Below are 17703 nucleotides of genomic sequence, written 5' to 3' on the forward strand. Positions count from 1 at the left end.
ATTTTATTTCTATATTGGCCAATATAGAAATAAACTTTATTAGGTGAGAATATCAAAGCTGGGAGTGGAAGAAGGCTTCCTCTTCAGGGTGACTTTTCCAAGAGCAGCTCAGGCTTATTTAATGAAGAAGTGCCAAGTGAATTCATCAGTAAATTAGAGAACCAGTGAAAGAAGAGACCTAGAATTCATTTCACCTCAATTATCTGTCTTGAACTGCCTTTGTTTAACCCACAGGGCTAAGGGAGTGTACTTCAGATTTTCTTCCTGAGTCAAACTGCTTGCCCTGAGACAGACAGGCTTCTTCAGTGGGCTTCCTTTGTGATGTTGCCCTTCAGTGTCTGTGGATGCTTATTGATTGAATTAATGATTCTATTAGACCTTAAGAAACAGGATTTGTTTGAAGTATATAGTTGTAGTATTGACACACTTTAAAAAAAACCTTTTATTACCATACTGACACAGAAGTAAAAGACCATTTAAAAACAGACTTCATCAACTAATGTGTTATTTAAAGTAAAGGTCACTTGTTAACAAAATTAAAAATTTTTAAATGGAGTTTGTAGCTTAAGAAAACTTAAATGGTCAAAAATCATGGTTCTGTTTTTGTTTTTGAGAGTGTCTTACTTTATGGCCCAGGCGGGAGGGCAGTGGTGCTATCACAGCTCACTAAACCTTGACCTCCTGGGCCCAAGGGATCCTTCCACCTCAGCAGCTGGGACCACAGGCATGCACCACCAAGCCTGGCTAATTTTTTAATTTTTTTGTAGAAATAAGGTCTCTCTATGTTGCTCAGGCTGGTCTGGAACTCCTGAGCTCAAGTGATCCTCTTGCCTCAGCCTCTTAGAGTGCTGAGATTACCATACCTGGCAAATCATGCTCTTCAAATGTGGGTACACTGCTGTTGGTAATCATTTTCTCTGTTTTACTGACTTTGAGTTAGAAAAATACCCCCTGAGGAGCTAATAAGTAGTTTGTATATCACCTTTTCCTGTTTCAAACAATCCTTTTTAGACTCTAGACCCATTGTATAACCAGTTTGCAGAGTAGTAATTAGGGGCAAAAAGAAAATGAAATTTGCCGGCCAGGCGCGGTGGCTTACGCCAGTAATCCCAGCACTTTGGGAGGCCGAGGCGGGCGGATCACGAGGTCAGGAGATCGAGACCATCCTGGCTAACACGGTGAAACTCTGTCTCTACTGAAAATACAAAAAATTAGCCGGACGTGGTGGCGGGCGCCTGTAATCCCAGCTACTCGGGAGGCTGAGGCAGGAGAATGGCGTGAACCTGGGAGGCGGAACTTGCAGTGAGCCGAGATGGCGCCACTGTACTCCAGCCTGGGTGACAGAGTGAGACTCTGTCTCAAAAAAAAAAAAAAAGGAAAGAAAATGAAGTTTGGCTTTCATAGATTTTTATAATTTCAATTATATATTGAACAAAATGTCTAAACCTCATTTTATGTGATAAGACTTAAGGCTTCAAAATTTTGTACAAGCATATTATTCAGGTTAACAAGTAAGTGCTGTCTAATGTTCTAATTAGTTCTAACATATATATGAAGGAGCTTAACTTTGAAATAGTTCTTTGGAAGAGTGAAAATTCTTTTTGAAAATGAGAAATTAACTTAAAATTAACATTTTTACTTCTTTTAACTTTAAAAAAATGTTGAGTTTGTGGAAATGTGGGCATAACTGTAATTTTAAATAGTTGTGTGCCCTCCTATTTTCTATCCTGTTACTACCCCATATTGTGTACCCACCTGAGAAGTAAACTGAAGACCACTAGAGTGATAATGACTAGGAAAGTGAAGATTTCCTTTGAATATATGTAAGCAAGCACAAGTAGAATGTCACTGTATCCATATTATAAACAGTCAGAAATAACAATACGAGAAACTAACAATGTTATCATTTTGAATTAGATCAGGTACTTATGTGATACTTAAGTAATTTTTTTACCTTGGAAATTAAATAATGGTGTGTGTATAGAAAGCCATGCCAATAAGGTAGCAAATTAAATATTATGAATATTATTTTTATCATGTGTCGTTTCTACTAATGGTAGCAAATTAGAAATCTATTTATTACCTGTTTTCAATCTAATGATCTTATTTATTTAATAATCTTCGATAGGACTTAACATATCAAAATGGCTAGATTGTTTTTATGGGAAAAAATAACCTGGGAATCTAAAATTTAAGTAGAAGCAAAATACATAGTTAACTGACATTATATGATACATTCATTAGAGAAATGTTAGCTAAACAAATTGGTATTATTGTTGATATAATCAATAATTTATAAACTATTCAGAATGTTTTACTCTTAGGGACATATACATTTCTTTAGGAAGTTTTAGTCATTGAATATTAAATATTAACTGTTGCCTGCTAATTGATGTAGTAAATTTGCAGTGTTTGGTTTGCCCAGAAACCAATTCTAAATACTTCAGGCTGGGCACGGTGGCTTACATCTGTAATCCCAGCACTTTTAGGAGGCCGAGGCGGGTGGATCACTCGAGGTCAGGAGTTCGAGACCAGACTGACCAACATGATGAAACCCTGTTTGTACTAAAAATACAAAATTAGCTGGGTGTGGTGGTGCATGCCTGTAATCCCAGCTACTTGGGAGGCTGAGGCAGGAGAATCGCTTGAACCCAGGAGGCAGAGGTTGCAGTGAGCCAAGATCGTGCCATTGCACTCTAGCCTGGGCAACAAGAGCAAAACTCTGTCTCAAAAAATAAAAATAAAAATAAATAACAAATATGTTGAATAGCCAAATCTTAAATGTTGTATTTTAATTTTATGGATTAAGTTTTTGTCTCTGTTGTCATCCTGTACCAACATTGGTACTGAAGTATGATATTGGAGAATGATTTTTGACCACTTACTTTTCTTGAGCTTTTTGCCTAAACCAAGCCACTTTGAATATGTTTCTTTTTGGTTGAAAAGTTATCACTGACCTTGTTTTTTTCCTATTGTGGTACCTTGTCAGAATCTCTACCCTTTGCCGAGGAGCTGAAGTAAACCAGCACATGTTTTCACCCACATCTGCTCCAGCCCTCTTCCTCACTAAAGTCCCATTTAGTGCTGATTGTGCTTTGGCTACTTCTCCTCTTGCCATTTTCCTGAACCCACGAGCCCACAGCAGTCCTGGCACTCCTTGTTCCAGCCGCCCACTGCCGTGGAGGTAAGGAAACTTGCTGTGAATCTGGGCCTTGACAATTGCTTCTGGCCAAATGGTAAAACGCATACCTTACTCCTTAATAATGGGGAGAAATGGAGTAAGAGTCTTGGTTCTGTCACAGAGAAGAGTAAAATAAATATCACAGATTTCTGTTGTATTCAAAATGTCAGGAGAAAGGAGGGTAGGTTATCAGTACTTGGATTTTTGAGGCTATTATAAGTTGTGTGCCCATCCTGACCATTGGACAGCCTTGTGAACTATGACCTGTGACCACCCCATAGCATGGCAGAGTGCTAGAACTCTTAGGAGGTAAAAAAGTTCAAACCTCACATTTTACACGATGGGAAAATTTGAGTCCAAAACAAGTTAAATGGTTTGTTCAGGTTGAGGAAAATAGCCCTTCTCCCATTTCTTTCTGTCTTCCTTTTCTTATATTCAACATTATTTGATTACGTACTATCTGCTAGGACACTGTTTTGGGCATGGGAAACAAAGCAGTGAACATAAAGCAATAAAATCCCTGTCCTCAGGGAGCTTAGATTCTAGTGGAGAAAGAGAGACAAGTTAATGAGTAAATATGTAACATAACGGATAGACAGTGCTTCTGAGAAAAATAAAGTAGGATAAGAGAATGTAGAGGCCAGGGCTTGACATTTTATATAAGGTGGTCAGGTAGGTCCTCAGTGGTAAGTTGACATAAAAGACCTGAAGGAAGTCATAGAGCCTGAATGGAGATATCTGGAAGAAGAGTGTTCCAGGTGGAGGCAACATGAAGTGCCAGGGGCCTGATCTAGGAGCTTGCTCCATGTATTCTTTGTGCAACAGAGTCCAGTGATACTGGTACAGAATAAGTTAGGTGGTGAGTATTGGGAAATGAGGCCTGAAGTGTAGTGGGCAGCCAGATTAAACAATTTTGAGGCTTTTTGAGATAGAGTTTCGCTCTTGTCACCCAGGCTGGAGTGCAATGGCACAATCTCTCCTCACTGCAACTCTGCCTCCCAGGTTTAAGTGATTCTTCTGCCTCAGCCTCCCGAGTAGCTGGGATTACAGGCGGCTGCCCCCACACCCAGCTAATGTTTGTATTTTTGGTAGAGACAGGGTTTCACCATATTGACCAGGCTGATCTCAGACTCCTGACCTCAGGTTATCCACCCGCCTCGGCCTCCCAAAGCACTGGGATTACAGGCATGAGCCACCACTACTGGCCAGGACTTTTGTTTTTATGCTGGGTGAGATAAGTAGCCACTGGAAGGTTTAAATAAGAATGACATGATCTGACGTAGATCAAAAGATCACGCTGGGCTGGGCGCAGTGGCTTACACCTGTAATCCCAGCAGTTTGGGAGGCCGAGGTGAGCGGATTGCTTGAGTTCAAGACCACTCACAAGTTCGAGACCAGCCTGGGCAACATGGTGAAACCCCATCTCTACAAAAAATACAAAAATTAGCTGGGCATGGTGGCGCGTACCTGTAATCCCTGCTACTCTGGCGGCTGAGGTGGGAGGATGGCTTGAGCCTGGGAGGTGGAGGTTGCAGTGAGCTGAGATCATACCACTGCACTCCAGCCTTGGAGCCAGACCTTGTCAAAAAAACAAAAACTAACAAAAAAACACACTCTGGTTATAGTTAGAAGGCCACTAGGTAAGAGACAATGGTTATTTGAACCCATGATGATTCAGATAAGAAGTGGTCAGATTTGGGGATTATTTTAAAGGTAGAATTGATAGAGGAGGAAGAGATATCCAAGGATTGAGCTCTGGGGCAAGTTTTAGAGGTTGGGGCGATAGTGAGGAATTAGACTAAAATGAATTAGCTATTCATTCAGGAACAAGGACTAGGAGAAGTATCTTAGAAGCCAGTTGAAAAAAAAATGTTAAAAAAGGAAAGCGTGATTGATCAGTAGGTATTTGTTAAGCTTTTTGTTAGAGAATAGTAACCTGAAAAACTAAAAGTTTAAGTGAAACACAATGTATCACACAGATTTAAGTGACATTATTTGATACAGGAGCTTAAATTCCACAGACAGTTTGGGACAGTGATAGACTGACATAGGACAATGTTAGAGGCTAACTTCTCTCTGAAGGCACCTCTTCTAGACGTACTAGCGCTTGGCGTATGAGGCTGAGAAAGATTGTAAGTTGGGTAGCCCCCAAGATGTACCCAGTCCTGGCACATGGTTTTGAGTATCTCTTGATGACTATGGTCTCAGAACACACAACCTGGAGCAACATCTTACAGCTTTGGAGCTTGTTAAATTTCATGTTTTTTTTTTTTTTTTTCATAGACTTACTAACATGTGTGGTCACTGTATTAGTGCTTCATTCCATTCTTCTTTTGTATCCATGCCATGCAAAGTGCCAGTTCATTGATATGACAAGATTATTTTAGCTTGTTGTTTGCTAGATATTTTTATATTCCTTTAAACATTCTTGAGAATCTGGGATGCAGTTATTTAGAAATTGTTTGATCCTTTGAAGGAATACTTTCAGGCTTTGTTTGGTGAGACCAGGGCAGCACTTGAGGCTAATTTTTTCTTACTACTGAGGCAATACTTTGAGTACTCTATTTGATGCCCATGTATTGTGAGTTTTTTCCACTCAGGCTGATGGGAGCATGAACGATTCTGGGTCCTTAGTGAGCCCTGAAGAGGGTACCTGCTCATGTTCTTGGATAGTTTCCTTATCCACATATGCTGATAGATATTCAGCTAAAAACTCAGAGGAAGCCCCTGCAGATCTCCAGAGTTCCCCTCTGTATATCTGTCTTCTCTGGTACCCTGCTTTGAAAATTCTAGCCACCTTAGCCTCCCCAAGTTCTCAACTCTGTCTTCTCAACTCAGGGAGACTGCTGGACTCTGTTTGAGTACCCCCTTTTGCTGCTTCCTAGGCATGCAGTCTTAGGGCTTATTTTGCATGTTTCCCATCGGTCCAGTGTCTGCAAACTATTGTTTCATATATTTCATCTAATTTTTTTGTTTTTAAGGTGCAAGGGTAAATCTGATCTCTGATTCCCCATAATGATGAGAAGCAGAAGTCTAGTCTTGCTAATATTTTGAGCTCATGCTTCTGTCATTAGTTGTTCTTATTGCTTTATGAGATTATTGGTTGACTGATTCACGTTGCATAAGCCCAATAGAAGCAGATTATTTTAAAATTATTTTATCTTCCTTAGTCAAGAAAAGTTGGAAAATGTAATGTCAAAAGAATAAGAATAGGTAACATTTGCTGAGCATTTACTATGTCTTAACATTTTTAAAATGACTTACATTTGTTAAATTTAATTCTCAAAATACTCTGATGAGGTGGGTGACACATGTTCATTTTTTTTTCGATGAGGTGGATAATCTGAGTAAATCTGTTTTATAGATGAAGACACTGTAGTACAGAGAAGTTAAGGAAGTTATTAATAAGTAGTAGAAACTACCATTCAACCCCACAGTATCTTACTCCAATGTCTGTGGTGTTTTTTGTTTGTTTGTTTGTTTGAGACGGAGTCTCACTCTGTCACCCAGGCTGGAGTGCAGTGGCGCAATCTCGGCTCACTGCAAGCTCCATCTCCCGGGTTCAAGCAGTTCTCCTGCCTCAGCCTCCTGAGTAGCTAGGATTACAGGCGACCGCCACCACGCCCAGCTAATTTTTGTATTTTTAGTAGAGACGGGGTTTCACCACGTTGGTCAGGCTGGTCTCAAACCCCTGACCTCGTGATTCACCCACCTCGGACTCCCAAAGTGCTGGGATTACAGGTGTGAGCCACCGTGCCCAGCCTATGTCTGTGGTCTTAACCCCTCAGCTGTTGTTACGGGATCCTGGGAGGTGTTGCTTTTCTAGCTAGAAACCTCTGTGGCTGGTGACGCTTTTGCCTGAGCTTTGTTTGCTCAGGCCTGCTGGGCCCAGTTGGCCCAGCAGGCTGCACTTGCCTCAAGCTACCAGCCTGGATCCCATGCCTCCAAAGAGACTGGAGCGGAATAGTGAAGGGTGTGTGGCAAGTGAGCATAGGGTCCGGCCACTGCACGCAGTCAGGCATGCCAACTGCTGCAGCAGGGCAGCTAGCTCCAAGGGCTGGCATGGGTGCTAGCTCACTGTGAGGCTGCATCGGGACCAGGCGCCACGCAAGCAACTTCCACAGCTGGCACAAGGGAACGCGGTGGTGCCCAGAAACTTGGAGACTTTAGGAGCCACCAGGCCCCAAAGCAGGAGTCACAGCTCAGGCTCGGGGAGCTCTCAGGTCTGGTCTCTCCAAAGGGCTGCAGCTCTTCTCTCCTTCTCTCTTCTCTCCTTCTTGTCGCCCACAATGTGTTGAGCAAGGGGCATGTTTCAGCTCTGTTTGTATTACAGCTCTTTTGGCCCTGCCATTCGGTGGGTCCCGAGTTCTTGTCCTGCATCCAAAAGGAATGAGGTACACAGACAAATATAGGGTGAGCAAGACAAAGGGGAACTTTATTGAGTGATATAATAGCTTAGAGGGGACCCGCAGTGGGTAGCTCCTATCTGTAGGCAGGTCCTCCCGTTGAGTGTTCAGCTCTCAGCAGAGAGGAGGTCCTGGAGTGGGTGGCTCCTTTCTGCAGGCAGGTGGTCCCATTATCTCCCTATGGTCCCTCCCTCCTCTCCCCAAGCCTGGCTGAGTCCAGGGGCTTTTATGGGCCTCAGAGGGGAGGAAGTGCATGCTGGTTGGTCCATGGGCGGCCATGGGTGGGCCCAGGGAAAAGCACCACAAGTTGCCCTTGCGGTTTCTGGGACTGGCGACCCATCCCCCAGGCTTCAGGCTTTCCCTGGCTTGGAGGTGGGTCTTCACTGTGGACCAGCTTCTCTCCACCCAGGAGCCTGTCTGCCTCCTGCTGCTGTTCATGGTGACCAGGCTGTTCATGCTAAGGGGTGCCTGCAGGCCAGCACTGGGCTGTCCTCAGTGCACCCCTCAGCCTCCTTCCCATGCTTGTCAGTGCCCAAAGCCTGGAGGGGGCCAAAGTGGCAAGGGGGTTGGCATGTCAGCACTACCCCGAGCATGTGCACACTCAGCTGGGCTGTGACAGCTCCCGGGCTGGGTCCCAACTTTGCTCCGAGGTTGGAGTAGGCACTGACAGAGGGGAGAAGCCAGGTAGCGGGAGCGGACGATTCTGAGCCTGCGAGGGGCAGGGGCCTTCCTAGGCCCGAGAGTTCAGAGATGCCTGGGTCTGAAGCTGCAGCAGGGCGGTGGTGGCTGCACCTGGGGGGCTCCCACCCCACCAACTCGGAAGGGGTGGGGCTCCCACTTTTCCCTGGCTCCCACCGACTCTGTAGAGCATGCAGCCCCAGCTCCATCTCCTAGCAGTCTTGGGCAAGGGCTCCAGGTCTGATGCATTGTCCTGGGCCAGGTGCTGGGCTGCTCCAACGCATCGAGTCTGGTGCTCCTGGTGGTGACCGTGCCAGTTGTTTACATGGTGATCTGCTCCATGGGGCTGGTGAACAATGTGGGCATGCTGTACTTGCTGCTGTGGGGTGCCGCTTTCACTTCCTACCCTGGGCCCCTGAAGCATGGCCCCAGCTCTGTGTCTCGGGCCAGACCTCTGTGCCCCATGTGCAAGCACGGGACCACCCTGGGCCCAGCTCTGCCCTAGTGCCCCTCTCTGCCTGTTCCTCTGTGCACTTCTCTCCCACTGGCGGACGGCTCAGCTCAGCCTGGCCCAATTGTGGCAGTTCCCAGGGGTGGGTTCCCAGGGCAGTGGGCCTGTAGGGGGGCTTCCAAAGGAGGGTTCCAGGGACTGTCCACCTTGGCGTCTGCACCGGAAGACCCGTGTCCTGCATCTGTACCCCACTGCAGCCGGCGTCATGGCAGTGACTGCTTCATGGCAGTGACGGGCTGCCACTGCCATCACTGTAATGTTTCTGATGAACCATATGCAATCGAGAATTTATTTAATAAATTTACAAACTCTGAGCACTTACTAGCTCCCAGGCACTGTTCTTAGCACTTTAAAATGTAAAGGTCATTTGCTTCTCACACCAGTTCTGTGAGAGAGATTATCATTGTACTTATTTCACACAGGAAGCGAGGGTGCAGAGAGATTAAATAAATTGCTCAGGATAACACAGCTGTATAAGTGGCAGAACTGGGATAGAAACCTGGGTAGTCTGGCTTCAGAGATCACATTCTTAACAACCACACTGTTCCATGTCTCCATCTGAGATATTTTCATTATGTAATATCATACGTTCTGAACCAAAGTAGTTTTTGCAGCCTTGGGTCTTTTCCCAAGGTGATGTATTAATAACATTGTTTAATAAATCCTCCAATCCTGGGGGTGGGAATTGGTATTCCCACAGTCTGTTGTCACTTCTAGGTCATTACCTTTATTACCTTCTTGTAAAAACCTCTGTTCTTTTTTTTGAGACAAGTTCTCACTCTGTCACCTAGGCTGGAGTGCAGTAGCATGATCTCGGCTTACTGCAACCTCTGCTTCCCAGTTTCAAGCAATTCTCCTGCCTCAGCCTCCCCAGTAGCTGGGATTACAGACACCCGCCACCACACCTGGCTAATTTTTGTATTTTTAGTAGAGACTGGGTTTCATCATGTTGGCAAGGCTGGTCTCAAACTCCTGACAAGTGACCTGCCCACTTCAGCCTCCCAAAGTGCTGGGATTACAGGCATGAGCCACCACACTCGGCAAAAAAATCCCTCTGTTTTTTTAGGCCTGTATCATTCCATTTTACCCCTGCTCATTACTGTCATCTATTAATTTAGTTTTGTTCTCTGTACTCAAATTCACAGTCCAGAACAGAATCTGTGCTTAGTGAAAACGGTGATGAACCTCCATTCTGCAACATCTTTATGATGAACCTCTCTTACTCAATTTATTAAGCAAATTAGCAAGTAAAGTAGAAAGATGAGAAAAATGGTTCCAGTAAACAATGTGCATAAGTGAAGAACTGAAAATTGAGTGCTACTGGCAGTGAATTTGACTCTGAGTTCCAGAAGAGAGGGAACTAGGAGGGGGGACTTCCAGGGGCGGGTTCCAGGGACTGCCCACCTTGGCATCTGCACCTGAGGACCCGTAGCCTGCTCCTGTACCCCACTGCAGCCAGAGTCATGTCAGTGGCCATATTAGGATGTCTTTTTTATCTCTCTTTTTTTAATTTGATGAGTATAACTATTATAGGCTGAATTATGTTCTACTAAAATTTGTATAGGTTGAAGTCCTAACCCCTAGTAACTCAGAACGTCACTGTATTTGGAGACAGGATCTTTAAAGGGGCAATTAAGGTTAAATGAAGTCTTTGAGATAGATCCTAATCCAGTATGACTTGTGTCCTTACGAGAAGAGGGGATTAGGACACAGACAAGCACAGAGGGAAGGCCATGCAAAGACAAAGGGAGGTAGCCATTTAGAATCCAAGGAATGAGGTCATAGAAGAAACCAACCCTGCTAATGCCCTTATCTTGGACTTCTAGCCTGAACTATGAGGAAATAAATTTCTGTTGGTTAAGTCACCCAGTTTGTGATACTTGGTTATGTATGGCAACCCTAGTAAACCAACACAGCTATTGAGGCATTTGGCTGCATTGCCCCAGAGTTGGAAAACAGTGTCCCCTTGCATCATAGTGTAGTGAGGACTAGCCCTGCTTAAGGTCTTAAGCCTCTTTATTGACTGTATCTTAGGGATGGTCTTAGGACCTTACAAATTGTTGCCCGTAATAATTTGAAGGACAATGAAGATACAGTCTTGAAATGATACCCACTCTAGCTCTGTAATACATTGCGTTTTATGCCTTGATTGGAAGGAATGAGTCTGTTATAAACAAACGTTGATGCTAGCTCTTAAGTGTCTCAGATGGGTATGATGAACCTTAAGAGGCATAATAAATTTCATTGTGATTTGGGTTAAATTAAATAACCACTAACCTTTACTCCATTTGCATGTCTTCTAAGAAAATGATTCCAGAGTATTGATTGGCACTCAGATGGGGGTGTTGCATTTTTAGAGTAAGAGTGCTAGATTGACTTTGTGTTGTAAGTGGTGTCCTTGAAGAGAGGAGGCAGTTGTGTCTCTGGCTATTCACTGGCCCAGCTGTAGGCCTGCTGGAGAGAGAAGTTTGATGTTAACAGCTTAATGGAACACAGAATGACTTAGGTTTTGAATCAGTTTTGAATTGCCATAGACTTTGTCAGCCCTGAAGTAGGAGGGCTTGCAGCAGGAAATCCTTACTAGAGTGATTTTTATATTGGAAGCATTCTAGCTTTATCTTGCTTCCTACTGCATAGGAATTTCTTCCATACAATGTCTAGCAAAAAGCTATTCAGCCTTTGCTTGAACATCTTCAGCAACAAGCAGTTCACTCTCAAAGCTTTCATCCAGTGGTACCAATTTAGTTCTCTGGCACCTCCTATGTCACACGTATGAGAGACTTTTGGTAGACTTGCGTGGCAAATGGACAGGTGTTCCTTTGGGCCTCCTCCAGAACTAGGCAACCTTTGAAACCCCTTTTTGGTAGTGTCAAAATTATTTCCTGCCAAAGAGAAAGCACTATTTTCATTTTACCAACACCTGCTTTTCTTGTCTTGTCTTTTTTTAAACAACTGCTTTTCAGAGTAATTTCAAAAGAGGAACATCTCCCAGAACTTGTTCTTATCCTGGCCCTGCTGCATAGTGGTGGTAGGCAGATTACTTCACTTCTTTCTACCTCAGTTCTCTTCATTATTAAAATGGGACTCACAATAGTATTTCAAGGATTATAGTAAGAATTAAGTGAGTCAGTACATCTACAATTGTTTAGATATTACCTGGGCTGCTAGACTGGTTATTTTGCTGCTTCCATTGTTGGGAGACTCAGATGTTGCTAATTCTTAGCACTTCATTTTGCTTCCATTACTTTTTTCTTTGCTTCTATTACTTTTCTCATATTCTTATTTTCCCTTGGATATATTGCCTACCATATGTCCATACTGCAGAAGCTCCATTACTGGCTTAGGTGAGGCAGTGGCAGCTGGGTGCCCTCCTGCCCTCTCATGCATTCTCACTAATTGTTTCTGCTGAAAACTGGCCTGTTGGGGCTCAGCAGGACATGGACTGAAATGAAAAACACTTTGAATTACATTCTTTCTAAAAGACCATTTTTTGGCAATGAGGAAAGTCCATCAAAACGGTTTCAAGGTATTTCATTTCTCCTCTTACAGCAGGGAAAGCGCATCTTGAGAGTATCTTCAGAAGAAGTGATTCTCTTGTTAGAGTAGGGAAGGTTTTTTGATTTTTTTTTTTTGTTTTTTCATTGAAAAGGTAAAATAATGAAGACTAGTGCTGTGCTTTAACTTCAGGAACCCTTATATGCGACAGATAGTTTTTCATAGACCCTGGCTCCAGGTGACCCTGAATGAAGATATAATCCTGTATGGCTAGATGCCAAATGGTTGCTCTTGCCTATCAGGGGACCTGTCCCGATAATCATGTAGGTTCTTTTATATTTTTCCTAAGCGTCGGCTGGCTTGAGAAATAAAGGGACAGAGTACAAAAGAGAGAAATTTTAAAGCTGGGTGTCCGGGGGAGACATCACACGTTGGTAGGATCCGTGATGCCCCACAAGCCACAAAAACCAGCAAGTTTTTATTAGGGATTTTCAAAAGGGGAGGGAGTGTGCGAATAGGTGTGGGTGACAGACATCAAGTACTTAACAGGGTAATAGAATATCACAAGGCAAGTGGAGGCAGGGCGAGATCACAGGACCACAGGACCGAGGCGAAATTAAAATTGCTAATGAAATTTCGGGCACTATTGTCATTGATAACATCTTATCAGGAGATAGAGTTTTGAGATCAACCGGTCTGACCACAATTTATTAGGCGGGAATTTCCTCTTCCTAATAAGCCTGGGAGCGCTATGGGAGACTGGGGTCTATTTCACCCCTGCAGCCTCAACCATAAGAGACAGGCCACGCCCAGGGGGGCTGTTTATAAGCCAATACCTCCAGGCGCGTATTCTCTTTCTCAGGGACGTTCCATGCTGAGAATAAGAATTCAGCGATATTTCTCCCATTTGCTTTTGAAAGAAGAGAAATACGGCTCTGTTCTGCCTGACTCACCGGCGGTCAGAGTTTAAGGTTCTCTCTCTTATTCCCTGAACAATTGCTGTTATCCTGTTCTTTTTTCAAGGTGCTCAGATTTCATATTGCTCAAACACATGCTGTATAATTTGTGCAGTTAACACAGTTATCACATGGTCCTGAAGCGACATGCATCCTTTTCAGCTGACAGGATTAAGAGATTAAAGTATAAAGACAGGCATAGGAAAGCACAGGGGTATTGATTGGGGAAGTGATAAGTGTCCATGAAATCTTTACAATTTATGTTTAGAGATTGCAGTAAAGACAGGCATAAGAAATTACAAAAGTATTAATTTGGGGAACTAATAAATGTCCATAAAATCTTCACAATCCATGTTCTTCTGCCATGGCTTCAGCCGGTCCCTCTGTTTGGGGTCCCTGACTTCCTGCAATACTTGCCTAAGAGCAGGAAGCTGAAGCTTTCTAGGATACTTCTGTTTCTAGAACTAGGAAAATTTTATTTACTAAATTTTACATTGTGTTATGGAAAAATCTCAAAAATGTTCAAAAGTAGAAAGACTCATACTACATCCCCAGTATCGTCTACATTGTCAGCTCATGGTATACTATCTCATCTACATCCCCACCTATTTTCTTTCTCTGTCTCTCTTGCTTATTTTGAAGCAAATCTCAAATTTTATGTCATTTCATCTATACATATTTGTATCTCTAAATGTAAGGACTCCTGAAAAATGTAATCACAGTATTATTACCACACCTAAAACAATAGTTTATCAATGTAATCAAATATCCAGTTTATGTTCAAATTTTTTTTGCAGTTGGTTTTTTGGAATCAGTAGCCAAACTATGTCAGCACAGTGTATTTGGTTAATACATCTCTTAAGTAGGGTGGTGATACAATTTAGTGTCTAAACTAGGAAATTTTATATAATGAAAGAGGATTGTTAATATTACTGGGACAACAGACATAAACCTGTTAAATAAAATAATTGGGATGTCTGATCACTCTTTCTTTTTTTTTTTTTCTTTTCTTTTTTTCCTTTTGAGACAGAGTCTCTCTCTATTGCCCAGGCTGGAGTGCAGTGGCACAATCACAGCTCACTGCAACCTTGAACTCCAGGCTCAAACAATCCTCCAACCTCAGCCTCCCAAGTAGTTGGGACTACAGACATGCACCAGAAGCCTGGCTAATTTTTTCTATTTTTTGTAGAGATAGGGTCTTGCCGTGTTGCCCAGGCTGTACTGCAAAGTTTATTTTAATCTAGGGTGTTCTCACCTTTTTTTTTTTCCTTGCAATTTATTTGTTGCAGAAACCGAGTTGTTTGTTCTTGTAGACTTTCCCACATTCTGGATTTTGCTGATTGCATCCTTCAGAGGTTTTTTTCTGACATGTTCTTATGAGCTCTGTATTTCCTATAAACTGGGGGCTTGACCTGATTGTGGTTTGGTTGGGTTGAGGGGGTGGGAAGAATACTTAACAGTTGGTTCAGTGTATATCTGTCAGGAGGCGGGTAATGTCAAGTCTCTCCCTTGTTTTGTTAGTAGTGGCCATTGATAATTATCACCTAGATTCATTATTTTCTTAGGAGTTTGCAAAAGATGATTCTCCTTCCCTTTATTAACTACAGTACTTACACAAAAGAATTTTCTCCTCATTATCTGTTTTTTTTTACCCTGAAGTACAGATAATTACCCTTATTCGCATTGACTCAGCTTAGACTCTTTCCTGAGTCTTCAGCCTAAAGCCTGAGTGTCCTCAGTTCCTTGGTCAGTGTTTCATACCTGCTTATTACTGCTTCGTTGTGAAGATTGTTTGCCCAGAGCAGCAGGGGGGGAGTTGTTGGTGGTGAAGCCCCTTGGAGTTTGCCATTTACATAGCTAACTGATTGCTCAGCTGAGGAAAACCTTGGCTTCCTCTTCTGGCCCACGTAGAAAGAGGAATTATCTGTAGTAGTCATGCTTGTTATGTAGACTCTGGGACTCTGAGAGGTGAGAATGCATCTAGAAGGCAGCAGCTTTTCTTTCATGTCCCTAGATGCCACAAGAGGAGGAGCCATTGCTGATCCTGATGGCCTCATTTTGGTAGATAGGATGGGCTTAGGGCTAGAGAGTCCTGCTGTTAAGAAACTAGCATACTGGAGTAGTCAGAGAAACGATTAATTTACAATAATAGATCCTTGACACAGAAGAATTAATTTTCATGGCTTTGTTTGTTAATATATACATATGTGTGTGTAAATAGATGGATTTTTTTTTTTGGAGGGCTATCTTCAGGATAAATTACTAGAACTGGGATAGCTGAGTCAAAAATTAAATGTATATGTAGTTTTATTAGATATTGTCCAGTTTCCCTTCACAGTCTATGGTTATACTATTTTACATTTCCATCAGCAGTTTAAGATAATGTCTATTTGCACACAGCCTTGCCAACAATATGATTGTCAAGCTTTTGAATTTTTGCTAATCTGAGAGCTAAAAAATGGTATCTCAATGTAGCCAAGTAAAAAGTCATATTAAAATATTCCTAAAGGATGAAGTTTGTTTTGAGGGGGGATGGAATTTCTCTGTCGCCCAGGCTGGAGTGCGCGATCTCAGCTCACTGCATCCTCCGCCTCCAGGTTTAAGCAATTCTCTGCCTCAGTCTCCCCAGTAGCTGAGATTACAGGCACCCACCACCACGCCTGGCTAATTTTTTTTGTATTTTTAGTAGAGACGGGGTTTCACCATCTTGGCCAGGCTGATCTTGAACTCCTGACCTCATGATCTACCCGCCTTGGCCTCCCAAAGTGCTGGGATTACAGATGTGAGCCACCGCGCCTGGCCTGTTTTTTGTTTTTTTTGTTTTGTTTTGTTTTGTTTTGTTTTGTTTTGTTTATCTTATGTGAAGGGAATCAGTTTCCTGTCCTGGGAAATTGAGATAGATGCATTCATTCATTCATTCATTCATACATTCAACTGCATACTAGGCCCTCTGAGCAGGAGAAGATGCCCACATAGGCAATAGAACACTTCGCAGCACGGGGTAGAGTAAAAGGGATGCTTTTTATTTCATAAGCTTTCAGCCTTATTCACCCCTATTCAGTCATTCCCAGAACTTTTCAAGTGATTTCTCTGGATGTTAGCAGAAATATTTTTTTAATGTCAAAATTCCAAGAATAGTTCAAAGAGCTTTTCACCCCCCAAACCAGGGGTCAGCAAAATAAACCCCATGAACCAAATGTGACCTGTGGGCTGTGTTTATACAAGCCACAAGCTAATAATGAAGTTTACATTTTTTAAGGGATATTTACAAAAAACAAGGAATATGTGACAGAGACCACATGTGACCTGCAAAGCCTAAAATACTTATTATCTGGCCTTTACAGAAAAAGTTTGACAGCCCTTGTCCTAACCCATACTGAATTAGCTCCTGATATGTTATCTCATCAGCCCTGAACACTTTAGTGTATACTTCCTACAGAGACATTTTCATAACAGTACAGCCATTAAAATCAGAAAATTAACATTAATAAATATTACCATCTAATCTACAAGTTTAATTCATATTTCACCAAATGTCCCAGTAATATCCTTTGTAACAGAAGGCTCCGATCCAGGATCATGTGTTAGAATTTTACTGTTATTCGTCTTCTATCTCCTTTAATCTGATGCAGTTTTGTAGTTATTTCCTCAACTTTTATAACCTCAATACTTTTGAAGATTACAGACCAGTTTATTTGATAGGATGTCCTTTAATTTGAATTTGTCTGTTATTTCCTCAGGATTAGAATCAGGTTATGAACCTTTGGCAGAAATATCACAAAAAGGTGGTATTGTGTTCTGTTTTTTTTTTTTTTTTTTTTTTGAGATAGAGTCTTGCTCTGTTGCCCAGGCTGGAATGCAGTGGCACAGTCACTACCTCCTGGGCTCAAGTGATCTTCCCACCCCAGCCTCTTTTGTTGTTTTTGTTTTTTTGAGAGTGTCTCGCTCTGTCACCCAGGCTGGAGTGCAGTGGCATGATCTGGGCTCACTGCAACCTCCACCTCCCGGGTTCAAGCGATTCTCCTGTCTCAGCATCCTGAGTAGCTGGGACTACAGGCGCCCGCCACCACACCTGGCTAATTTTTGTGTTTTTTTTTAGTAGAGACAGGACTTCACCATATTGGTGAAACTAGTCTCGAACTCCTGACCTCAGGTGATCCGCCCACCTCAGCCTCCCAAAGTGCTGGGATTACAGGTGTGAGCCACCATGCCCAGTCCCACCCCAGCCTCTTGAGGAGAGTAGCTGGAAATACAGGCATACACTACCATGCCTGGCTAAGTTTTAAAAAATTTTTTTAGAGACAGGGTCTTGCTGTGTTGCCTAGGCTGGTCTTGAACTCCTGGGTTCAGGTAATCCTCCTGCCTCGGCCTCCCAAAGGGCTGGGATTACAGGCGTGAGCTACTGCACCCAGCAATGTTGTGTTCTTCTCATTGTGTCCTGTTAGGTGATACAGGCTTTCGTTTTGTCCCATTACT

At 42.8% G+C, this 17703-nt stretch overlaps 1 protein-coding gene across 32 annotated transcripts in view, besides 2 other annotated features; it reads left to right on the plus strand.

The window, feature by feature from the left end:
• MAST2 (microtubule associated serine/threonine kinase 2) overlaps nucleotides 1-17703 on the plus strand; it is a 232511-nt gene that overhangs the window by 110738 nt on the left and 104070 nt on the right. For 15 of the 32 annotated variants that reach the window (XM_011541059.3, XM_011541069.3, XM_011541061.3 and 12 more), the window contains one exon: nucleotides 2990-3184. The exons of the other annotated variants lie outside the window; for them this stretch is intronic. In XM_011541059.3, coding sequence (XP_011539361.1) covers nucleotides 2990-3184 — 195 coding nt within the window. The remainder of the gene's footprint in view (nucleotides 1-2989; nucleotides 3185-17703) is intronic. 32 annotated transcript variants of the gene reach the window in all.
• Nucleotides 10968-11262: a silencer, noted in NCBI's record as "tiled region #5403; HepG2 Repressive non-DNase unmatched - State 23:Low". NCBI's record gives its function as "represses a minimal TATA promoter and a strong SV40 promoter by Sharpr-MPRA in HepG2 cells {active_cell/tissue: HepG2}" and the evidence as "EXISTENCE:reporter gene assay evidence [ECO:0000049][PMID:27701403]".
• Nucleotides 12847-13540: an enhancer, noted in NCBI's record as "OCT4-NANOG-H3K27ac hESC enhancer chr1:46392868-46393561 (GRCh37/hg19 assembly coordinates)". NCBI's record gives its function as "activates a minimal SCP1, AML or CMV promoter by ChIP-STARR-seq in naive and primed H9 embryonic stem cells {active_cell/tissue: H9 hESC(naive and primed)}" and the evidence as "EXISTENCE:reporter gene assay evidence [ECO:0000049][PMID:30033119]".

This window comes from Homo sapiens, chromosome 1 (assembly GCF_000001405.40).
Source record: "Homo sapiens chromosome 1, GRCh38.p14 Primary Assembly".
Lineage (NCBI taxonomy): Eukaryota > Metazoa > Chordata > Mammalia > Primates > Hominidae > Homo > Homo sapiens.